The sequence below is a fragment of the Homo sapiens genome, chromosome 20 (genome assembly GCF_000001405.40).
Source record: "Homo sapiens chromosome 20, GRCh38.p14 Primary Assembly".
In the NCBI taxonomy this organism is placed as follows: domain Eukaryota; kingdom Metazoa; phylum Chordata; class Mammalia; order Primates; family Hominidae; genus Homo; species Homo sapiens.
In genome coordinates, this window is record NC_000020.11 from 1,514,600 (window position 1) to 1,534,090 (window position 19,491).

At 39.4% G+C, this 19,491-nt stretch overlaps 2 long non-coding RNA genes and 1 pseudogene across 2 annotated transcripts in view, besides 1 other annotated feature; 1 reads left to right on the forward strand and 2 right to left on the reverse strand.

The window, feature by feature from the left end:
* LOC105372499 (uncharacterized) overlaps positions 1 to 19,491 on the forward strand; it is a 37,633-nt gene that overhangs the window by 2,039 nt on the left and 16,103 nt on the right. The window lies entirely within an intron of this gene.
* Positions 988 to 7,023, reverse strand: LOC105372498 (uncharacterized). Its single transcript, XR_937198.3, has 3 exons — positions 6,964 to 7,023; positions 1,483 to 1,563; positions 988 to 1,068 (listed from the first exon to the last, which is right to left on the reverse strand). It is a non-coding gene; the product is annotated as an uncharacterized LOC105372498 (long non-coding RNA).
* Positions 6,495 to 7,694: an enhancer, noted in NCBI's record as "BRD4-independent group 4 enhancer chr20:1501740-1502939 (GRCh37/hg19 assembly coordinates)". NCBI's record gives its function as "activates an origin of replication core promoter dependent on BRD2, P300/CBP, MED14 and CDK7 cofactors, and independent of BRD4, by STARR-seq in HCT116 cells {active_cell/tissue: HCT116}" and the evidence as "EXISTENCE:reporter gene assay evidence [ECO:0000049][PMID:35650434]".
* RNU6-917P (RNA, U6 small nuclear 917, pseudogene) lies at positions 14,457 to 14,560 on the reverse strand (annotated as a pseudogene).

Here is a 19,491-nt window from a genome sequence, read left to right on the forward strand (position 1 = left end):
CCCAAATTCTCATCCTTCTGCCCTCCTACATCCAAGGTCACTGCTATTTTTAATCTTGTGTTCATTGTTCCTTTTAAAAAATGGGTTTCATTGTATTTCTATGTATTCCTAAAAACTAATGTTAGCTGTTTTCAGCTTTATTAAAAGACCATCATTTTTCATGAAATCTCTGGGACTTACTTACCCCCATCAATATTGTATTACTAAAATTTATCCATGTTACTGTGTGCGGCTGTAGTTAATTAATTTTGCTTTCTATAGAATATCCCATTCTGTGAGTGTACTAAGTTTATCACACATTGTACTGCAGATGGGCATTTGGATTGTTCTCAGGTTTTGCTAATTTTAAACAATGTCTCCATGTACATATTTGTACATATCTCCTGGTGCACATGTGCAAGTTTCTTTTGAGTGTAACCTGAGAGTGGAAGTGCCAGGTTATAGGGTATGTGAGTGTTTAACACAACAAAATTTTCCAATCTGTTTCCCAAAACAGCTGTGTCCATTTATGTGCCCACTAGCAATGCAAAAAAGATCCAGTGGCTTCTTTACTTTTGCTATTTGAACAGGGACAAAATGACATCTCAGTGTGGTTTTGCCGTGGCTTTTCCTGATTACTAATGAGGTTGGCCATTTCTTCATATGTTTATTGGCCATAAGTGTTTCATTTAACTCAGTTTTAATGATGGGGCTGTAGAGGTTTCATGGCAGAGCTTGGGTTTCATGGCAGAGCAATGGGCTTTCCTTGATGAGCCAGGAAGGAGCCATCAGAAATGCAGGCATCTATTTTCCTCAGGGTTGGAGCCTATCCTGCCTCTGCTGGGTTTCCTGGTCAGTATCATGGACTCTGAGGTCAGACTTGCCACAGAAAATTCATTCCTGGGTAAGGCATGAGAATCTCCCTCTCACTGTTGACCTTTCCAGTCTAGGTGCTCCCTTCCTCTGGTGGCTGCAGGAGACAGGGAGGGATGGCCAGTGCTGTTCAGGTCTCAGAAGGCTGATGAGGCAAGAGAAGCTGAGGGAGCAGCTACAGACATCATGGCAGGTCCTCCTCTAAGTCCAGTCCTCCTAAATAAGACAGGAGGGACTGAGGGTCCTATGTCACTGTGGAGGACTGCCTTTGCGGGGTCTATGACCTGTAGAGGAAGCAGGGGCTGAGGCACAGCCCATGATTTTCTCACACCTCTCCTTAGAGTCTACCTCAAGGGTGCTGTCTTCATACCAGCTCTCTCTGTTTCTTCCTCCTTAAGTGCCCCCTCTCCTGCCCTGACCAGGGAACCTGCCTCTTTGTACATCCTCAGGCTGAATGAGAGACAGAGGAAGGTCAAGGGGATAGCGGTGCAACTCTCGGGGACCCTATGGATCAACACCCATTCAAGGTACAGGAGAAATGGGAGGGCTCCACAGCCTTCTTCTCACAGTGCCCCTGTCAGCTGGAGTCCCACCCTTGGGAGCCTAATCCCATCTAGGGTCCCCCCTTACCTGGAAGAAAGGCTCCTCCTAAGGACACAGATGGCAGAAAGTTCCAGCAAAGGAGCAGGAAGGAGTTGCACACAGGGGTACCTGGTGACAGAACAATGTCAGGATGAGGCTAGATCCTGTTTCCACTAGACCCCCAAGCAGGCTCAGCCCCACCCCTGACTCAGGTCCCAAGACTATACCCTGGTCTTGGGGAGAGTCACCTCACCTATATAAGCCTCAGTTTCCTTCATCTGTAAAGTGGGGATTATAACACGCATTTCAGAATGTTTTTGTATCAAATGGGAGCACCCAAAGTACCTAATAGGTGCTCAGTAATTGTTAAATCTGAATGGCTTTTGGAGGATGGGTGGGAACTGGGGAAAGATATTTCAGATTAGCTTAGTTATTCAAAGGAGTATCTGGTAAAATGAGTGGGTGGTCAGGATTCAGCTGATGAAAGCAGCACTTACTGCAATTTGGTACTGGAGACGTAATGCTCTAAAGAGGTTGCCATAATTGCTGTTCCATTTTATAGATAATTCAGAAAGAGGTGAAGTGACTTTTCCAAGGTCACACATGGTGAGAACAGCAAAGCCTGCATTTGAACCTGGCCTGTCTGTCTCTAGGTCTGAGCCCTTACCTGCTTGGTTATTCCGGTCCTACTCTCCCAGACTCGCTTGCTCTTCTTTGGGCCTGCTCAGCTGCCTACTGGCCTGGACCAGAGCCTGGTTATTCTGCCACACTTGGCAGGTGAACTGTTTTTTATCCTTTCACTCTGAAGTGTTGACCAGGATATGATTGTCTTGGGTGAATGTGCCATCTGGGTTCTTGGTGGGGCCAAGTGCCTCACAGGTCTTGAAGTATCCATTTCTCTTTAGCCAGGCAATTTGTGTGACTTTGGGGTGAAACCTTTGTATATGGCAGGTGAGAATGGCAGTCTGGAGTCCTGGGACATGGTGTGCTGAGATATTCACTGTGGGCACAACTGAAACAATAGCACTGCCTTCGTTAGTTTCTTCCTTTATGCAAAGCGTGCTCAAGGGGTGTCTACACCTTCCTAGGCAGTGTGCAGGGTTCTTGGAATACAGCATTGACCAAGACAGGCATGTTCCTTGCCTTATGGAGCTCCCGCTCTGGTGAGGAGGACGGGAAGGAAACAAAGCAGTCACATGACTCCTACAGGAGTTCCAAGAGCCTACAATAGGGACAATTGACCTGGTCTGCAGGAGGGCAGGTTAGGAAAGGGTCTCCAGAGGAAGTAACCTTTGTGTGGAAATCTTTGAATTTGAAAGATTCAAATATGAAATTCAAATATGAAAGACGAATTAAGAGTTAACTCTATGTGGCAGATTGCATTTTCCAAAAATTATGGCAGCCACATACTCTTCCAGAACTTTGCTACTCCGCATTAGAGGAGGAGTCTATTTCTGCTCCCCTGGACTTTGTAACTGCTTTGATGAATAGAATGTAGCAGGGACAACACTGTGTGACTTCTGTGGCTGGGTAATGAAAGTTGGTATGGCTTCTACCTAGCTCTTTCTTGGGACACACCCTTGGGACACAGCCACCAAGCTATTACTAGCCTATGTGGAAATGTTGGGGAAGCAGGAGCCTAGGAGAGCCAGACTAATGCTACTTTAAGTTCAACTCTGTCTTGGAACTAACAAGGCACATTCCTTGCTGGTTACGACCGACAGTTATAAGATATTTACAACGGAAGAAAAGCCTAAAGATTCCTACAAAGACACATTTCTATAACAGTGGAAAGTCAGGATGTCCCAATACCCATAAAAATATATGTTTTCAAGATCATTATATTCTTTGATGTACTCAAACTCTAGAATGTCAAGGATAGTTTTCTTTAAATCAATAGAATAATAAATTTTGTCACGCTGTCTGCTCACATGAGTGTAGACACAGCTTAGCTTAGCTTTTACATGGACAAGACACCTTTATAAGAAAAACTTAAAGAAGAGGCTTTCCTCTGCTTTCTTTCTGAGGACACCCCACCCTGTAAGTGAGTAACTTTCAATAAATTATCTCTTCTCACTGTACTCTGTGACTTGCCTTTAACTTCTTCCTGTATCAGATCCAACAACCCCCTCTTGGGGCCTGAATAGGGACCCTTTTTCTGGCAACAGAAAGATAATAAGGAAAAGCCCATGCCAAGAAGAACAAAGGCCCCAAGCCAACAGCCAGGACCAATGGTCAGGCATGTTAGTGAAGGAGCCTTTAGGTGATTCCAGCCTCTGAATTGTCCAGCTGAGGCTCAACCATCATAGAACACAGCAAGCTGTCCTTGCCCAGCCCTGCTGGAATTCCTAACCCACAGCATCTAACAGCATAGTCATTTAAGGGAATATGGAGTAAATTTGGAATACTGGAATAAATTTGGGGATAATTTGTTATATATCCCTAATAATTGTGAAACATTAGGCAAAAGGGTTTGTGGGGCAGGAGAAGGGGGGTGCTGGGAGAGGTTGGGGGTGGGAATGGCATCTCAGCAGACAGATGGACCTGGGCAGAGGCCCTGAGTTTCCATGGACTTTAGAAAGAAGATCAAAGTGAATGAGAGAGAGGATGGGTGAGTGAGGCTGAATTCATAGCCAATCTGGAGGCTGGCTACACTTAAAGGTGGCCTGGGGGCACTTAAAGACATTCTAAGGCATACGAACATTATTTTAATACAATTAATTTCCAGATCCTGAACCCTCATAAGACTGTTTACTTAGATTGATCTGCCTGAGAATGAGCATCAGGGCCATTTTCTTTTCTTACCTCCGGTTTCTCAATTTTCCTTCTCCCATATCACAAAAGAAAGGCCTTCCTCCCACACTTCCTGAAGTGGGGCATTGTCCTTGGTGTAAAGACTTTGGGATGCAAAATAAAAGGACATTTCAAATACTGCTGGCCAGGAAGCCTGCTTTAACCAAAGCACCATCCACTCCCCCATCTACCTTGCCAAACTGCATTTCCAATACCAAGTTAATGGCTATTTTAATAATTACTTATCAAACATTTTTATATATTTAGATTGTTTGGATCTATTGTGCAATTCAATCCAAAAGAATGTTTTTTGACACTGAGAGCCTTATGGTCATAAAAATTTTATTTTAAATTTCAACTTACAGATGTAGTTTTGCTTGAGTTCTGTGTTCTCATAGTTCTCTGTGATATGATCTGTATGATTTTATAGTGAAGAAAAGATTTTCCACAATAAAATATGTTACATTAAGGTAAAATTCTTCATGGGAGTTAGAATGGAAATACAACTTTAAGAAGTAAAAGGAATGATATAAGATGCCTGATTATTAAAGAAGAGCTTCTTTATGTATGTTTAAATGGATCATGGTGGAAATTAAATTATGATGATGTTATTTTTTTCACTGAATATGTTTTGGAGTGATGCAACATTTGTAATACTCCAGGAGTTATGTTCTGTGCAACCATTTAAGCTTAAAATGAAAAATTTTAGAGTCAACTTTAAAATTTATGATACACTACATAGTTCTTCACAATTATTTTAGGGAAATATACACAAAAATGCTTGAATATCACATTTGAACATCCCAGTAATAATTTTTTTTTTCCCTAAGAGAAGTGATGAGCTACTGTAGGATTTTAAGCAAAGGAGAGACATGATCTGGTTTCCTTTATAAAATCCCCTTGGCTGCTGGGAGTTTTGGGGAAGGACTGTGGAGGGCAATGGTGGATATTAGCGATCAATTAGGAGGCTCTTGCAATTGCTCATGGATGTTGGCTTGAGCTTAACTATGAACTTAAGTAGTGGCAGTGGAAAAGAATGTATGAGTTCAGGAAATATTTGGGAGTGAAATCTGATAGAACTTGGTGATGGGTTGTGTGAGAAGAGGTTTCAGGCTTGGATGACTTGGTCGATGGGGAGTGTCTTCTTCACTTATATGGGTAGGATGGAAGGAGCAGCAGTTCTGAGAGGGTTGGGGGAGCAGCGCAACACCAATCTCTGGGCTGACCATGACTGAACCACCACTCCTGGGGAAGGTGGGGGTGGGTATTGCCTTTCTCTGGTATCTCTGAATAGGTGGTTCTTACAGGAGGCAGATCAGAGGTAGTTATCTGAAGAGGTGTAACACTGGGTTCAAATTCCAGCATGCTTACTGAAGAACCCTGTGACCTTGGGCAAGTCACTTCACTTTTCTGGGCCTCAGTTTCCTCATCTGAATGAAGCAAGGACACAAAGCTGCCTCTAGTTTCTTTGAGATGATTGATGTGGAGGCTAGAATTCACTTTCCAGGCTGGAGCTCTCTTGTGGTATCTTTTGGTTAAGCAAGACACACTTCTATTTTGGGCTGGAGGCATTTGAGTAATGAGGAGCTAAATTCTTGACAATGATACCATAAATTATCTCCCTTATGGGGTTGCTGTGGAGACTATGGTGCTATTAATGGGTCTCCTTGGTTTTCTCTGGCTGGAGCTGGAGAGAAGGAAAGAGGGAGTTCTGGAACCCTGGAAGGAACTTCACCCATCTGCAGGAGGTAACTGAGACTACTCTATGCTGAGGTTGGTTGGGGGCAAAGGACAGTACAGGCCCCTGGGGAAAGCCCCTATGAAGGCAAAGGCAGATGGACTTGAAGTAAGAGCCAGAAAGGGCATGTGTGTGTAGCCTGCTTTGCTGGTTCTCCTGATGCCAGGGTGAGTTTAAGAAGCATGTTTCAAAGGTGGTGACTGGTGGCAAGGCAGTGGTGGCATGGTGGTTTGAACAATGGTGTTAGGAGTTCCCATGGAGAGTTCAAGTGGGAGAAACTTCTTTGCTGTGAAGCCCTAGGTGATCAGGTCCCTGCCCCTCTCTTGCCAGCCTCTTCCTTTTCCATGCACTCGTCCTCTCACTAAGCCTCAGCCACACTGGCTTCGTCTCTGCTTCTCAGACATGTCTTGCTCCCCGCTGCATCACAGGGCCTTTTCACGCTCTGTTTCCTGTGCCTGGAACACTCTGCACTTTGCTTGGCTGACTCCTTTTCATTCTTCATGCCTTGGCTCAAACATCAGTTCTTCAAAAAGACATTTCCTGAGTAAACTGGATTTCTCTCCTTTTCATATATTTCAGCAATCTGTTCTTTCTCTTCATAGCAAATGTGATGAATATAACCATATAGTTGTTTGTGTCTTGGTTGATCGGGTTCACATGACTGTAAACTCAGCAAGGCAGAACCAGGTCTGCTTGGTTTACCATGGAATCCCCAGCACCGAGAATAATGCCACCACATAGCAGATGCTCAACAAAACCTGTTGAATGGGTGAATGAAGTTCCACCTCCCAAAGACGCTAGAGGGAAGGGAGCTCTGAAAGAGAAGAACTCGATCATAGCATTATGCAGAAGGAGGATGGTCATATAAAACAGGGAACCTTATCACCACCTCACTGAGGGTTTTGTGAGGAATGAATGGGAGGATGCAGGTGACATGCTTCAAGCAGGGAGCCTACAGTGGTCACAAAAGGTTGGCCCTGTTTGTGTGGGGGGCTTACCTTGGAGAAATTGGGAGATGTTCACGTGCCCTCTGAGGGGACTCTGCAATTCACTGTGAGCCACTTGGCAGGTGACCTGGGAGTGGAGTGAGGAGAAGCCAAGGGTCACTGTAGCAGTGCTGATGACGGTGTAGGAGGAAGCATCTGCATGCGGGAAGACCTGGGTCTGAAAGGCTGGAAGCTCTATGCCATTTTTGAGCCATTTCACATATATGTTTTCGGCAAAGAAGCCAGTTGAGGTGCAGGTGAGATTCACTAGTTGGCCTGGGCTAGCCCTGTTGGAAGGGCCAGAAATCTTTGGAAGAGAGAGCTTAGCTTTGATCAGGGCAAGGGTGAAGAGAAGAAGGAGAGAGAAGAGAGAAAAATGAAGAGGGAGAGTTACTCTCTAGCCCAATACTCACCCTCATGGTTCACTCTGCTTGACTTCCTGCCCCAATCGCCCATCTCCAGTTTTCTCCTCTTCATAAACTTTATCATTACTCTTCTTGTTATAACGGCCTATCAACTGACCTCACTGACTTTACCTCTCAGCTCTTCCAACCTACACTTGGAAATCAGACCATGGTGATCTTGCTAAAATGGAGATCTGACCATGTTATTCCCTTGCTCACCTTCCTCCTGTCCCCTCTCATCCCTATCTTCTTCCCAAAGTACATTGTTTAAAAAGTCACATAAGGTATATCCCGAAAAACAGCAGACCCCTGGTTTCCTCTCCTTGCAAATATTATAGACCAACACGTTTTAACTATTTTAGTGGATTCTTTGGGCATATTTCTCTGTGTTTCTATGTTGATACTAACATACTTATACTGTTATTTTCATATTTTCTCATCTTTTTCAGTTTTATATATTATGGATCTACCTACTGCTATGGAAGATGATGCTCTAGCTCTCTTACAGCTCCTTCTACCTGCCATCCATATTTCTCCGCCTCACATCCTCCTATTAAAGACACATCATAATTTTTTGTTTTATCAGTATTCAGCATTTATATTATTATGACCAAATGAGCATTATTCATAATTGGGCCATGTAATATATCATAATCATATTTCCTGTCTTGTACAGCTTTTTGTTTTCCGTGGAGGTTTTTAATATATATTTTTTAATTTTTAATTTTTGTGGGTATGTAGTAGGTGTATATATTTACAGGGTACATGAGATGTTTTGACATAGGCATGCAATGTGTAACAATCACATCATGGAAAATGGGGTATCCAACCCCTCGAACATTTATCCTTCATGTTACAAATAATCCAATTACACTCTTTTAGCTATTTTAAAATGTACAATTAAATTATTGTTGACTGTCATCATGCTGTTCTTTTAATGGTGTCATTATTTTCATTTGCTTCATTTTCTATGAACTTATGACAAACTCATCCCCAAGCTTTCTGCCAGATTTCCTTCATGTTTGAAACTACTAAGTACTGCACTGGACTTCACTTTAGGGTACATGTGTATTCAGGAGTGCACAAAGATTTTTCAGGGGATTGTATAGGCTTGAATTAAAAAATCTTTTTATTATGATAAATTTGTAAACATACATAAAAACAGAGAGAAAGTATTCACAATGGCATTTTAACAGCTACAAACAAATGGCTGATCCTGTTTCGTCTACACTTCTCCCATCAACTGCTGGGTTAGTATTTTTTATTGTATACATTTAAAGTGTACGACATGATGTGTAGCTATACATACACTTAGTGAAATGATTACTACAGTCAAGAAAATTAGTATATCCAGTATCTCACATAGTTACCATTTTCGTGTGTGTGGTAAAAGTATCTAAAATCCTCCCTCTTAGCAAATTTCCAGTATACAGTACAATACTATTAACTGTAGTCCTCACACTGTACATTAGATCTCTGGGCTTATTCATCCTACATAACAAATTTTGTACTCGTGGACTTCCATCTGTCTCCCCATTTTTTCAACTTCCCATCCCAGGTAACCATTGTCCTACTCTGTTTCTATATATTCGAGTTGTTTTGTTTTTTATATTTTACATGTAAGTGAGAGAAATTAAAAATAAAACTACCATATAACCCAGCAAGGTTTTTTTCAGGTATATACCCAAAGAAAATGAATTCACCACCTTGTAAATGTATCTGCATGCCCATGTTTATTGCAGCATTACTCACAGTAGCTAAGATATAGAAACAACGTAAATGTTTGTCAATGTATGAATGGATAAAGAAATTGTGGCATATGTATACAATGGAATATTATTCAGCCTTAAAAATAAGGAGATCTTGCCATTTGTGACAACATGGATGAACCTAGTAAGCATTATGCTAAGTGAAATAAGCCATACACTGGATGGTTTTAAGGTAAATACCAGACATGATATTATTTCATTCTTAACTACTTCAGCATGTAGAAGAGTTAAGAATTCTTTTTTTAAACAATAAAATGTCATTATTATACTTAAAATTTAATAGTAATTCCTTAATATCATCTAACATTTGTCAACAGTCAAATTTTTCTGCTTGTCTCATAAATATAACTTTACAGTTGGTTTGTTTGAATGAGGATGCAAATTAAAGCCATATGTTACATTTTGTTGATGCCTTTTAAACCTCTATTAATCTAAAGGAGTTCCACTTCCTCTTTGTTCTCTTGCCATTTATTTGCTGAAAAAACCAGGTTGTTGACTCTGATAAATTGCCCACATCCGGTACTATTTCCCAGTTTCCCAACTGTATTCAGCTGCAGTCGCGCGCAGTGGTAGTGGGCTTGATAACATGCCCTTTATTGACTGGCTTCACCACTCCTTACTGTTGTTAATTGCACTGAAATCCTTGTCTTACAGTTGGCTTCTCACTGAACCTATCTCTGTGTTTTAAAGTCCCTCGAAATAATTAGTCTTTGTCTAGTTAAGCCATCAATATATAGTTAGATTAATTAGTTTTACTTTAGATTTAGTAATTTAGATTTTTAGGATTTTTTTTCATTTTGGAATTTATTAATTATTTAAAAATTCATGTGCTTAGAAAGTCAAAACGTAAGTCACAGCACATTCAGAGAAGTCTGGCTTCCCCCTTGTCTCTTCCATTCTGTTCCCTTTCTCCTTTACATGTAAATTTTTAAATTATGATTTTAGTTTATTCCTCTTTTTCTAAAAAAACAAGACACAAGGCCGGGAGCGGTGGCTCACTCCTGTAATCCCAGCACTTTGGGAGGCCGAGGCGGGTGGATCACGAGGTCAGGAGATCGAGACCATCCTGGCTAACACGGTGAAACCCCGTCTCTACTGAAAATACAAAAAAAAATTAGCCAGACGTGGTGGCGGGCGCCTGTAGTCCCAGCTACTCGGGAGGCTGAGGCAGGAGAATGGCGTGAACCCAGGAGGCGGAGCTTGCAGTGAGCCGAGATCGAGCCACTGCACTCCAGCCTGGGCGACAGAGCAAGACTCCATCTCAAAAAAAGGAAAACACACACACACACACACACACACACACACACACACACACACACACACACACAAAACCACAAGAGACAATATACACATGCTTGTATTTCTCACTCTTGTAAACATAAAAGGTAGTGTGCTCCACACACTCTTCTATATATTTTCCTGTTTAATGATATGCTGTGGGTCACTCTGAAGTGGTGTGCTGAGTTCCTCCTTACGCCCTTTTAAAGTCACATAATACCCAGTGTGCGGCTGTACCATAATTTAGTAGGCAGCTCAGCTTTTGCTCTTACCAATAGTGTTGTGATGAAGAGCCTAAGGATAAGTCATCCTGCACTTGTGTTAGTAGATCTTTGGGATACATTTCTGGAAGTTGAATTGTTGGGTCACGAGGTAATTTTGCTAGATATTGCCAAGTTCACCTCTTTATGAGTTATATGGTTTTGCATTCCTAACAGCAAAATATGGAGTAATTGTTTCGCCTTAGCTTCCCCAACAGAACGTGCTGTTGAACTTTTGGATTTTTGGTCAAGCAGATAGGTGAGAAACCGTGTCTCAGTGTAGTTTTTAATTTGCATTTCTTCCTATACAAGGGTGGTTGAGCGTATTTTTATATGTTTGAAACATTTGTATTTCATTTTCTATAACTTGTCTTTTCCCATTTATTGCCCATAATTCTAAAAGGTTGACTGTCTTCTAAAATTTTAGAAGCTTTCTCTATATTAGGGATTATTTTTTGTCTACGATGTAAATCGCAAAATAGTACACACACCTATACACAAGTTTCTTTTTGTACAATGCGATCAAAATTATAATCTTTTAAATCTTTCTGCATTTTGAGTTACAGTTGGGAAGGTTTTCTCCATTTCTAGGTTATAAAAGAATATATATATATATATGTTTTCTTCTAGTACTTAAATAGTTTCGTTTCTTACATTTAAATCTCTGATCCACTTGGAATTTATTTTGGTGTATGGTGGGAGGAACTAGATAGATACACTTCTGGATTTTTCTATGCTGTTCCATTGGTCTATTAACTCTTCAAATGATCCAACACCACAGTTGAAAAGTCTCTTCTTTTTCCACTGACTTGCCTTCATACTTTTTTTTTAAGCAATCAATTGACCATATGTATGAGTCTATTTCTAGAATCTCTATTCTGTTCCATTGATCCACTTGTCTTTTTTTTCTTTTCTTTTTTTATTTTTTAATTTATTTTATTTTATTATTATTATACTTTAAGTTTTAGGGTACATGTGCACAATGTGCAGGTTTGTTACATATGTATACATGTGCCATGTTGGTGTGCTGCACCCATTAACTCATCATTTAGCATTAGGTATATCTCCTAATGCTATCCCTCCCCCCCACTTGTCTATCTTGATGCCAATACCACACTGTATGATTACTATAGCTCTATAATAATTTTCTGTTCATGAGGGATATTGATCTATAGTTTTGCTTTTCTATGATTCTTTATCTGTAATGCTGGCCTCACAGAATGGGAAGCCTCACTTCCTCTTTAATTTTCTGAAATAATTTGAGTAAAATTGTTAGTACTTCTTCCTCAATTGTTTGATAGAATTCCTCAGTGAAGTCATCTGGGTCTGAATTATTCTTTGTCAGAGGCTTTTTAAACTACAAATTTAATTTCTTTAATAGATATAGCGATAATTAGCCTATTTATTTCTTCTTGAGTGAGCTTTAGCAGTCTATGTCTTTCAAAGAATTTGTCCATTTCATCAAAGTTGTTAAGTTTATTGGTATAAAGTTTTTCATAAAGTTCCATTATAATCTTTTTAATATCTGTGGAGTCTGTAGTAGTGTCACCTCTCTCATTATTGATATTGGTAATTTGTATCTTCTTTCTTTTTTCCTGATTAACTGTGTGGATATGGATTTATTAATTTTATGAATTTTCTCAAGGAACCAGCTTTTGCTCTTATTGATTTTTTCTATATTTTTTCATTTTATGTTTCTGATTTCTGCTGTGTTCCTTATTATTTCCTTTCTTCATTTTTTCCTACTTTTTGAAGTCTCTGAAAAAAACCTTTCTTCTGTCCTAATATAGGGATTTAGTGCTATGAATTTCCTGCTAAGTACTCTTTTGGCTGCATGCCACAAATTTGGTATGCTATGCTTTCATTTTCATTCAGTTAAAAATATTTTCTAAGCCAGGAGTGGTGGCTCATGCCTGTAACCCCAGCATTTTGGGAGGCTGAAGCAGGCAGATCACTTGAGCTCAGGAGTTTGAGATCAACCTGGGCAACACAGCAAAACTCAGTCTCTACAAAAAAATACAAAAATTAGCTGGGCAGGGTGGAGTGCACCTGTAGTCCCAGCTACTCAGGAGGCTTAGGTGGGAGGATCACCCAAGCCCGAGAGGTTGAGACTACAGTGAGCCGTGATTGTGCCACTGCACTCCAGCCTGTGGGACAGAGTGAGACCCTGTCTCAAATAAATAAATAAATACATACATACATACATATACAAAATACTTTCTAATTTTTCTTCCGATTTCTTTTTCAATAATGTATTATTCAGAAGTATATTTAGTTTTAAAATGTTTGGAGATTTTCTAGAGATGTTTGCTTTTTAAATTTAATTTCTATGACTACTGAGGGTTAAATTAAATAAAATTAAAAATAAATAAATAAATTTAATTCCATTGTGGTCAGAAAACACACTTCTCATGACTTGATTTATTTCAAACTTACTGAGACTTATTTATGGCTGAGAATACAATCTATGTTGGTAAATGTTTCTTTTGTAGTTAAAAAGAATGTGTATTCTCTTGTTTTGGGATGGAGCATTCTATAAGTATCAGTTAGCTCAAGTTGGCTTATAGTGCTGTTCAAGTCTTCTACATCTTTACTGATTTTCTGCCTCCTTTTTTTACCAATTATTGAAAGAGAGGTTTTGAGATCTGACTATAATTGTAGATTTTTCTATATATTCTTGCAATTCCATGAGTTTTGTTTTATGTATTTTGAAACTCTATTATTATATGCATCAACATTTAGAATTGGTATATTTTATTAATTGATAAGCTTATTATAAATGATATTCTATGTTCTCATAATTTCTTTGTTCTAAATACACTTTGATATTAATGTAGGCATTCCATATTTAAAAAATTATTGTTGATGTTGCATATATTTTTCTGTCCTTTTATTTTTAATCTATTTGTGCCTTTATTTTTGAAGAGAATCAATTCTCTGCAGGCAGCAAATAGTGGATCCTACTTTAAAAAATATAATGCAAAAATCACTTTATTTTAATTGGTGTGTTTAAACCATTTACATTTAATATGATTATTTATATGACTAGGTCTAAATCTATGATCTTGCTACTTACTAGCCTCATCTCTTTTCCAGTGTACCTCATTTTCTGTCTTCTTTTGGATTGATTTTTATGATTCTGATTTATGTCTTTTGTCAGTTTATTAGCTATTACTCTTTGTTGTGTTATTTTACTGGTTGTTTTGGGATTTCTGGCATACATTATTAACTCATCATTATTTACCATGAGTGATAAGGTATCACTTCACACATAGCATAAAATTCTTACAGTAATATATTTCTGTGTCTCTCTTCCTGGTCTTTGTGCTATTTTTCTCACACATTTTACTTCCATGTATGTTATAATTTGTCAAATATATTATTATTGTATTTGCTTTGAACAGCTATGTTTTAAGTACATTTAAATATACTTTTAAAATATTTTCCCACATTGTTACTATTTCTCTTGCTTTTAATTTCTTTGTATATATCCAGGTTTCCATCTGGTATCATTTCACTACTGTTGGAAGGACTTCTTTTTAACATTTCTTGTAGTGCAGATCTGTTGATGATGAATTCTTTCAGCTTTTGTATGATTGATAAAATCTTTATTCTTCACTTCAAAAATTGTGGTAAAGTACACATAAGATCTGCCATCTTAACCATTTTTTAGTGTACAGTTCAGTGGCATTGAGTACACATTTAGAGTACAGTTTCAGTGGCATGAGTCACATTGTTGTGCAACCATCACCACTATACATCTCTAGAATGCTTTCCATCTAGCAAAACTGGGAAAATATATGGAATGCATCACAAATTTGCATTCCATCCGTGTACACAGGCCATACTAATCTCTGTATCATTTCACTCTTAGTATCTGTGCTGCCAAAGTGAGTACTTAACTCCAGCCTGGATGGCAGAGCAAGACTGGCTCAAAAAATAGATAAATAAATTAAATGCTTAATTTTATGTATTTATTTTAAAAGATATTTTTGCTAGGTAAAAATTCTAGAATGACTAATTAATTATTGTTTTCTTTTTAAAAATGCTTTAAATAGCCAGGCATCGTGGGGCATGCCTGTAATCCCAGCATTTTGGGAGGCCGAGGAGGGTGGATCACCTGAGGTCAGGAGTTCGAGACCAGCTTGGTCAATATGGTGAAACCTTGTCTCTACTAAAAGTACGAAAATTAGCCAGGCATGATGGCAGGTGCCTGTAATCCCAGCTACTCGGGAGGGTGAGGCAGGAGAATTGCTTGAATCTGGGAGGCGGAGGTTGCAGTGAGTCGAGATCGCGCCGCTGCACTCCAGTCTGGGTGATGAGGGTGAAACTCTGTCTCAAAAAAAAAAGAAAAAAAGCTTTAAAGATGTATCCCCACTGTCTTAAGCTTGCATTATTTTTGATGAAAAGTCTCCTGTATTTTTTGTTCTTTTGTATTTAATATTTCTTTTTGGGGGGCTGCTTTTAAGATATTTTCTTTATTGGTTTGTGCAACTTGGTTTGTGCTTGGGGTTCATCGAGTTTTTGGATCTGTGGGTCTACAGTTTTCATCATATTTGGAACATATGTGACCATTATTTCTTCAAATATTCTTTCTGTCCCCTCTTCCACTGGTGTCTCCAATACATATCTATTAGGCCACTTGAAATTTCCCCATAGCTGCTGATTGATGCTCTGTTTATCTTTTTTTTTTGAGATGGAGTCTCGCTCTGTCGCCCAGGCTGGAGTGCAGTGGTGCCATCTCGGCTCACTGCAAGCTCCACCTCCTGGGTTCACGCCATTCTCCTGCCTCAGCCTCCCAAGTAGCTGGGACTACAGGCGCCCGCCACCACGCCCGACTAATGTTTTGTTTTTTTTTTAGCAGAGATGGGATTTCACCGTGTTAGCCAGGATGGTCTCGATCTCCTGACCTCGTGATCCACCCGCCTTGGCCTCCCAATGTGCTGGGATTACAGGCGTGAGCCACTGCATCTGGCTGCTCTGTTTATCTTTTATACAGTTTTTAATTTTTTTGGTCTTATATTTGGATGTGGCTTTATATATTCCATTTTTATCTCTCTGTGTCATTTTGAATAGTTTCTGTTGTTGTGTCTTTAAGTTCATTAATCTATTTTCTTCAACATCTTAACTGCTATTAATCCTACTCAGTCTATTTTTCATCTTAGATATTGCAGCTTTCATCTCTAAAAGTTCAATATGGATCTTTTAAATATTTTCCGTGCATCTACTTCACATATTCAGTTTTTCTTCTAGCTTCCTGAACATACAGAGTATACTTATAATAACTTTAATTTCTTTGTGTACTAATTTTATCACCTGTCTTTTCTGGTTAGTTTCAAATGATTAATTTTTCTTATTATGAATCACATTTTCCTGCCATTTTCATGCCTGGTAATTTTTTATTGGATAACAGATATTGTGACTTTTACTTCAATGGGTAGTGGGTATTTTGCCTTTCTATAAATATGCTTGAGCTTGTTTTGGGACATGGTTAAATTACCTGGAAGCGGTTTGAACTTTTCATGTTTTGGACTTAAGCTTTGCAAGGCATGCCTCCAGCATCATTTGGTCTAGGGCTAATTCTTTTTCCTTTACTGAGGCAGAACTCTTCTGTGTATTCTACCAGATGTCCCATGAATTATAAGTTTTTTTCACTCAGGTTGTAAAGATCAGGCACTATTCTTAGCCTTGCGTAAGCTCCAGAAATTTTTCTCCTCTGGCCTCATGTACTTTTCTCATGTACATAATACACTTTTCAATACTTCACTGAATATTCAATGGGGACCTTTTACAGATATTTGGAGTTCTCTTTCTGTGAAACGACCTGCTCTTTGGTGCCCTACCCTGAAAACTCTAGTCACTTGGCCTCTGTGGACATCCAGGTCCTTCTTAACAACTCAGGGAGAACTTCGGGCTCCACCTGAGTTATCTCGTTCTGCATGGTGGTCTTAAAGCCTTCTCAGAGAGTACTCTTAGGGCAGCCTTAGGGCTCGCTTCATTTATGTCCCATTTCACAGGGATCACTGTCCTTTGTTGCCTGGTATCCAATGTCTTGTCTACCATGTTTTAAATAATTTGCCCAGATTTTTAGCAAGAGAGTAAATCCAGTCCCCATCACTATTTTGGTAGAAGTTGCCCCAATTATTTAATTTAATTTAATTTTGCTATTGTACTATGTGTTTGTCTTTTTTCACTGTATGTTCTAACTGGTTTTTCTTTGTATATGTGAAGGTTGTTGATTTCTGTTTGTTGATTTTATAACTTACTATGTTACTTAAATTATCTTGTTTTTTATAGCAGTTTAATGTTGATTCTATTAAGTTTTCCAGATACCATATCATCTACAAAGAGAGATAGTTTTCCCACTTCCTTTGCAATTAATATGCTTTTTATTGTTCTCTCCTTCTAAAAGCATTGACAAATACTTCAACGTAATGTTAAATACTATTAGAAATGGTGGGCATGAGTTTGAAGACTGCTTAAGTATTCTACTGATTCTATCTTTTGGAGATGTCCCTAGTAATGCTGCAAGTCCTCCTGTTCTGGAATGGCCCAGTGGCCATTTCTATGCCTCCTGCACAACTGTTATCTTAGGGTTTCCAATCCCCTATTCCTAGTTCTCATTCTTACCTTTTTTTTTTTGTATGACTCCTATTTTAGTTAAGCATAAGAGGGTGTAAAAAGCAATTCTTGATAATCTTGCAAACTCCATAGATTGTCTGGGTAAATGATTTTAGCTTTGAAATAATTTTCCCTAAGAATTGTGAAGGCACTATTCCTTGTATTCCTGGGTCTAATATTGTCCTTAGGCATCTCATGCTGGTGTCACTCACAGTGCTTTGTGCATAACTTTTTAGTTTCAATTCTTTAAAATTGTATGACATTCTCTTTGTCCCCAAAGACTGCCTACCATTCTCCTTGTTTCTCCATGGCTGTAAGCTAAAATGTGAAAGTCCCCTAAATTATCTTGATGTATGTTTCTATGGTTCTGTTACAGTAAATTATCACACTCATTTTTTTAAAAAAGAATCATAATAATTAATTCACCAATACAAGTACATCTGAACTAACTGTTGGGCTTCCCAGGCTTTCCTTTAATGGGTGCTGTTTAGAGTCTTGCAAGGTTTGTCTTCAGCCATGATTGAATCAGCCAGGACCAAACTCGAGAATACACAGAACTTATAGAAACAAAGGACAAAATTCAAGAAATGTAGGAATTACATATTCTATATCAATAATCTACATGTGATTCTTATAACTTTCTGCCTCAATAAATTTATCATTCATATCTTATGGGAATCTATGGTTCCATGCTTTTAAGATTATGTTTTTAAGTTTAATTGGTTGTAATATCCTGAGTATTAATGATGTATAGTAATATAATAATTATTATACAGCAGGCACTCTTCTAAGTGTTTTCCATTTATAAGCCCATTCACATTTATAATTCTTATAACAAATCTGTGAAGTGGATACTATTGTTATCCCTACCTTAAACACAAGGGAATTGAGGCACAGAGAATTTAACATTTTGAATTAAGAATCTTAATTAAGAATTAAGGTCACATAGGCTGGGCATGGTGGCTCATGCCTGTAATCCCAGCCCTTTGGGAGGCCGAGGTGGGAGGATCACTTGAGGTCAGGAGTTCGAGACCAGGCTGGCCAACGTGGCGTAATCAGGTCTCTACTAAAAAAAATCCAAAAAAATTAGCCGGGCATGATGGTACATGCCTATAATCCCAGCTACTCAAGAGGCTGTGGCACGAGAATCACGTGAACCTGGGAGGCAGAGGTTGCAGTGAGCTGGGATCACGCCACTGCACTCCAGCCTGGGCAACACAGAGAGACCTTGTAAAAAAAAAAAATAGAATTAATGTCACATAGCATGTAAATGGCAGAGCAAGAAGTTGATCCCAGGCCATCTGGCGCTGTAGTCTACTTTTACCCACTGTGCTTTGTGGGCCTTTGGAAGCTGTAAGATTCTAAAGAGTTAGGAGTCTACTGATAGATGGCGCTGGGGTTACATTTCACCCTGTTCCTTCACTGTGACCTCTCACTATCCCCATCTTCTATTCATAATCTTGGCACAAGGGCTAACAAAGGGGGAGCCTTAGGCTAGGCTCCCAGGGATTGTAATTTGTTTTAGAACAATGCGCTGGATTTCTAGGGATCTGTACTCCACCATGCACAAACATCTGGGTGCCTTGTCCAGACTTAATCTTCATGTAGGCTTCCTTTCTGGAATTTCACACAGTAGTAGGTGCCGGCTCTGCTGGTGTGATGCTTCTGATACAGATGGAATAGTTTGTGCTCTTTCTATTTGTGATGTCTGAAACAGTTCTTATCCAGGGGAAGTTGCCTTCTTTTTGACTGTAGATTAATTCCCGGCCTGGTCCAGCTCCTCTGAACCACTGGATGGGCCCTACGGGGATCAGGGAGGTCACAGTGCAGTGTAGAGTGGCCGCTTCTCCAGCTGCGACTGACACGGACTTCTCAGGCTGAATTACCCGCAGCTCCTCCTCACCCGCCACTCCTGGAAGAACACACGTCAGCTCCAAGCTCCAGCTGGGGATGAGGCTGCGGTCCAGGTGCCTGGGTTCAGATTGCATTTGAAGCCCCATTCATTCTTTCTTTCCATATCATGTATTAGCTTTTAGGATGGGCACATTCCTTAACTGGGTATCAAGAGAGACATAGAGACAAGATAGACAGACAGCCCTTGCTAAGGACACAGTCAGGAAGTCAAAAGAGAAGAAATACTTCTAGAAAAGATGTTCAACAACACCAGTAATCCAGTGAAGTGCATAGTTAAACCACACACAAATTGCT